The 6,082-nt window shown below is 36.6% G+C and overlaps 1 annotated feature.

The window, feature by feature from the left end:
* Window positions 4,541–5,065: an enhancer, noted in NCBI's record as "OCT4-NANOG hESC enhancer chr2:82625391-82625915 (GRCh37/hg19 assembly coordinates)". NCBI's record gives its function as "activates a minimal SCP1, AML or CMV promoter by ChIP-STARR-seq in primed H9 embryonic stem cells {active_cell/tissue: H9 hESC(primed)}" and the evidence as "EXISTENCE:reporter gene assay evidence [ECO:0000049][PMID:30033119]".

Genomic DNA, 6,082 nt, shown 5'->3' with positions numbered 1-6,082 from the left:
AGTTGTTCGTCCCTCCTGGTGGGTTTGTGGTCTCACTGGCTTCAGGAGTGAAGCTGCAGACCTTTGCGGTGAGTGTTACAGCTCATAAAGGCAGCGTGGACCCAAAGAGTAAGCAGCAGCAAGATTTATTGCAAAGAGCAAAAGAACAAACATTCCACAGCATGGAATGGGACCCCAGCAGGTTGCAGCTGCTGGCTGGGGGTGGCCTGCTTTTATTCCCTTATCTGGCCCCACCCACATCCTACTGATTGGTCCATTTTACAGAGAGCTGATTGGTCCATTTTACAGAGAGCTGATTGGTCAATTTTGACAGAGCACTGATTGGTGCATTTACAATCCTTTAGCCTCCTGGAGTGCCAGCAGAGAGGATGCCAAGGCCAAGGAGGCACTGAGAGTGAGCGAGGGCTGCTAGCACGTTGTCATGTCTCAATATCGTGCCAAGATAAATCTTTTCAGTCATAAATTCTGCCATAGGGGAAAGAGAGATCAACATGATCACAGTATATTGCACCACTGAAGACTCCAATAGCTCTTAACAGTGCTGCAGATACCCATAGCCAGGGCCACTGAGGACACCTGAAATCTTTGCTGTTACTGACAGCAGTATACAGACCTGTACAGAGACTACGCTACTGCATCATCACTGTCCCAAGAATTGCCATATCCCATCAGACAGCATCCTCACAAACACCTATAGGTGAGGATCTTCCCTCACTGGAACCAATCTATAAAGTCAAGAAGCGCTAACTGCTGCATAAAATGAACAGACATCAACACAAGACAAAAAGATGCTATTCCTATCAAACTACCAATTACATTCATATGGAACTAAAAAAGAGGCCTAATAGCCAAGGAATTCCTAAGCAAAAATAAAAAAGCTGGAGGCATCACATTATCTGACTTCAAATGATACTACAAGGCTACAGTAACCAAAAAAGCATGGTACTGGTACACATACAGACACATAAACCAATGAACAGAATAGAGAGCTAAGAAATAAGGCTACACACCTACAACCATTTCATCTTTGACAAAATTGGGAGAAACAAGGAAGGGGGAAAGGAATCCCCTTCAGTAAAAGGTGCTGGGATAACTGGCTAGCCATATGCCGAAGACCGAAACTGGACCCCTGCCTTACACCATATGCAAAAATTAAATCAGGATTGGTTAAATACTTAAATCTAAAACCAAAAACTACAAAAACTCTGCAATATAACCTATGAGATACCATTCTGGACATAAAACCTGGCAAACACTTCATGACAAAGATGCCAAAAGGAATTGAAATGAAAACAAAAATTGACAATTGGGATCTAATTAAGCTAAAGAGCTTCTGCACAGCCAAAGAAACTATCAACAGAGTAAACAGACAACCTACAGAATGGGAGAAAATATTTGCAAACTACGCATCTGATGACATTTTAATATCCAGAATCTATAAGAGATTTAAACAAATTTACAAACAAAAAATAAACACCATTAAAAAATTAAAAAGTAAGTAAAGGATATAAACAGATACTTTTCAAAAGAAGACATACACACAGCCAGGAAGCAAATAAAAAATGTTCAATACCATTAATTATCAGAGAAATGCAAACCAAAACCACAATAAGATATTATCTCACACCAGTCAAAATGTCTATAATTAAAACGTCAAAATATATCATTTTCTAGCAAGGCTGTGGAGGAAATGGAACAATTATATCCTGCTGGTAGAAATGCAAATTAGTAGCCTGGCACGGTGGCTCACGCCTGTAATCCTAGCACTTTGGGAGGCTGAGGCAGGCGGATCACAAGGTCAGGAGTTTGAGACCAGCCTGCCCAACATGGTGTCACCCCGTCATTACAAAAAATACAAAAATTAGCCAGGCATGGTGGCAGGCTCCTGCAGTCCCAGCCACTCAGGAGGCTGAGGCAGGAGAATCACTTGAACCCAGGAGGTAGAGGTTGCAGTGAGCCGAGATCACACCACTGCACTCCAACCTAGGTGACAAAGCAAGAGTCCATATCAAAAAATTAATTAATTAATTAATTAATTAATTAAATTAAAAATAAATGCAGATTAGTTTAGCCATTGTGGAAAGCAGTTTGACAATTTTTGAAAGAACTTAAAGAAAAACTACCATTTGGCCCAATAGTCCCATTATTGGGTACATACTAAAAGGAATAGAAATCATTCTACATAAAGACACATGCACATGTATCTTCACTGCTGCACTATTCACAATAGCAAAGACATGAAATCAAACTAAATGCCCATCAGTGATAGACTGGATAAGGAAACTTTGGTACATATATGCCATGGAATACCATGCAGCCATATAAAAAAACAATGAAATCATGTCCTTTGCAGCAACATAGATGGAGCTGGAGGCCATTATCCTAACTGAACTAACACAGAAACGGAAAGCCAAATATTGCCTGTTGTCACTTATAAATGGGAGCTAAACATTGAGTGCATATGGTCACAAAGAAGGGAATAGCAAACACTGTGGTCTACATGAGAGTGGAAGGTGGGAGAAGAGGATGGAAAAACTACCTATTGGGTACTATTTCTATTACCTGGGTGATAAAATAATATGTATACCTGTGATATTTAATTTACTATATAACAAACCTGCATATGTACCCTTGAACCAAAAAGTTAAAAAATAAAAAAAAATCACACACACACACGCACACAGAAATATGAAAAACCAAGGACAAATATTATCACCAAAGAATCACAATAATTTTCCAGTGACTAACCACAAAGAAGTTGAGATGTATGAACTTCCTGACAAAGAATTCAACATAATTGTTTTACAGAAGCTCAGTGACCAAAAAGTGAACACAGATAGACAATTTAACATATTAGGAAAACAATAAATGAATAAAATTAAAAGCTCAAAAAAAGACGGAAATAATAAAAAAGAAGCAAACAAGAATTCAAGAGCAGGAGAATATGGTAAGTGCAATGAAACCTGCACTCGACAGTGTCAACCACAGAATTCATCAAGCAGAAGAATAATCTATAAACTCAGAGAGAAGTCATTTGAAAACATGTTTTCAAAAGAGAAAAAAAAATAATGAAAGAGAATAAAGAGAGCCTCAGGATTTGTGAAACAGCACCAAGAGAGCTAACTTTTGCATTATAAAAGTAAAGGAAAGAGAAGAACGAGAGAAATGAACAATAGCTTAAAGAAATAATGACTGAAAACATTCTAAATATAAGGAAAAATACAAACACTTAGGCATATGAAGGTTCAAGGTCTCTAATGAGCTACATCCAAAAATAGTTCACAAGATATAATGTAATTACTATTGAAAGTCGAAGACTGAGGGAATCTTGAAAGCAACAAATGAAAAAAGTTTCCTTACAAACCAGGAAATCCTTATGAGGCATCGGTGGATTTCTTTGCAGAAACTTTGCAGGCCAGAAGAGAATGAGATTACATTTTCAAAGTTTTGTAAGAAAATAACACAAAATTTCTAACCAAGGATAATTGGTGTAGCAAAAGTAAGGAAATATAAAGGTTTTTCCTAGAGAAACAAAACCTGAGAAAGTTTATCATAACCAGACTTGTTTTAAAAGAAATGCTAAAGAAAATTCTTCAAGCTTAAAGAACAAGGATGCTAATTAATAACATGAAAATATGTATTCAGAAAACTAACTGAAGGAAGGCAGTATATAGAAAAATTCAGAATACAGTGCAACAGTAATGGTGATGAGTAAATAATGTATATCTTTAATAGGAAGAACTAAATATGATTATAAATAATCATAGCCATAATAATTTGTTAAGGAACATATAAAAATATGTAATTTGTGACATCAAAAATGTAAAATGTGGGGGGAAAGTAAAAGTGTAGAGTTTTTGTAGGCAAACAAATATAAGTTCTTATCAGCTTGAAGAAGTGTATTATAATTACATGATGTTTTATGTAAGCCCCATGGTAACCACAAAGCAATATCCTATAGTAAATAAAGAAAATATAAAAATAAAAAATCAAAGTATTTCACTACAGAAAAATCATCTAATCACAAAGGAAGACAATAAGAGAGAAAAAAAGAAACAAAATATATGCAAAACGACCATAAAACAATTAACATTTCACTAGTAAATCACTACCTATCAATAATTACTTTTAATGTAAGCAGAGTAAATTCTCCAATTGAAAGACATAGAATAGCTGAATGAAGGTAAAAGCATGCAAGTATATACTGCTGACAAGAGACTCACTTTACCTTCAAGGACACACAGAAATTGAAAATGGAGGGCTGAAATTACAATTATTTGATCTTACAAATTATAGGTATGTATTAAATTATCACATGGGGCCAGGCACAATGGCTCACACCTATAATCTCAGGACTTTGGGAGGCCAAGGTGGGCAGATCACTTGAGGTCAGGAGTTTGAGACTGGCCTGGCCAACATGGTGAAACCCCATCTCTTCTAAAAATACAAAAATTAGCCAGGCATGGTAGCAGTTGCTTGTAATCTCAGCTACTCAGGCGGCTGAGGCAGGAGAATTGTTTGAACCTGGGAGGCCAAGATTGCACCACTGCACTCCAGCCTGGGCAGCAGGGCAAGATTCCAAAATAAATATGTAAATAAATAAATAAACACATGAATCATGAAAATATGTATATCTATCATGTATCTGTCAGGTCTCTGAGCCCGAGCTAAGCCATCATATCCCCTGTGACCTGCACGTACACATCCAGATGGCCGGTTCCTGCCTTAACTGATGACATTCCACCACAAAAGAAGTGAAAATGGCCTGTTCCTGCCTTAACTGATGACACTGCCTTGTGACATTCCTTCTCCTGGCTCATCCTGGCTCAAAAGCTCCCCCACTGAGTACCTTGTGACCCCCACTCTGCCCACCAGAGAACAACTCCCCTTTGACTGTAATTCTCCTTTACCTACCCAAATCCTATAAAACGGCCCCACCCCTGTCTCCCTTTGCTGACTCTCTTTTCGGACTCAGCCCGCCTGCACCCAGGTGAAATAAACAGCCATGTTGCTCACACAAAGCCTGTTTGGTGGTCTCTTCACATGGACGCGCATGAAAGTATCCATTTTTAAAAATTAGAAAAGTAGTAATTGAAGGGATAGAAAAGTATATTCCATGCAAATGGAAACCAAAAAAATTATATGAGTAACTACATTATACCAAACAAAACAGAAATTAAGTCAAAAACTATTAAAGACAAAGCAGGTTATTATACAATGATAAAATTATCAAGTCATCAATCACATATAGCAACTGGAAATACAGAATAAACATCCTAACTTGAAAATCTAAAATTTTGAATGATTCTAAATTCGAAACTTTATGACCACCACCATGACCATCTCACTGTAGCATTTTAGATTTCAGATTTTTGGATTAGGAATGCTCAGTGGTTAAGTATACAGTGAATATTCTAAACCCCACCCCCCCACCAAAATTTTAAATCCAAGACACTATAATCCAAACCTTTTCAGAGAAGTGATACTCAGCCTTACATATACACCTACATCACAGCACCTGAATAAATAAAGCAAATATAAACCGCTTTTCACTTGCTGTTTTCAAAATTATCTATTTCTCTTTAATTTTTGATAGTGATTAGGTTACATCCTGGTGAAGTTTTCTTTGGGTTGAAGCTCAGTAGAAAACTTTAACACTGGATGTGAACTATAGTACAAATGGAATCAGGAGACATATAAGAAATATCTAACAGTAGCAAAAAATGCCTTGTTCTCAAGTACACATGAAACATTATCCAGGATAGATAATATGTGAGGCCATAATAAAAGTCTTATCAAATTTAAGAAAATTTAAATTATATCAAGTATGTTGTGTGACTGCAATGGTATAAATATAGAAATGAGGAACATGAGGAGCTCCAAGAAATTCACAAATATGTGGAAATTAACATGCTCCTTAGCCATCAATAAATCAAAAAAGGAATTAAAAATGAAAATTTTAAAAATATCTTGAAACAATTAAAAATACACACACAGCATGCCAACACATACTGGATGCAGGAAAGCAGTTTTAAAAAGGAGTTTAATAGCAATGAACATCTATATTCAAAAAGAAAGGAAG

This window comes from Homo sapiens, chromosome 2, assembly GCF_000001405.40.
Source record: "Homo sapiens chromosome 2, GRCh38.p14 Primary Assembly".
Classification (NCBI taxonomy): domain Eukaryota; kingdom Metazoa; phylum Chordata; class Mammalia; order Primates; family Hominidae; genus Homo; species Homo sapiens.
Note: the sequence above shows the minus strand (reverse complement) of the source record. Positions and strands in the feature narration are given on the sequence as shown.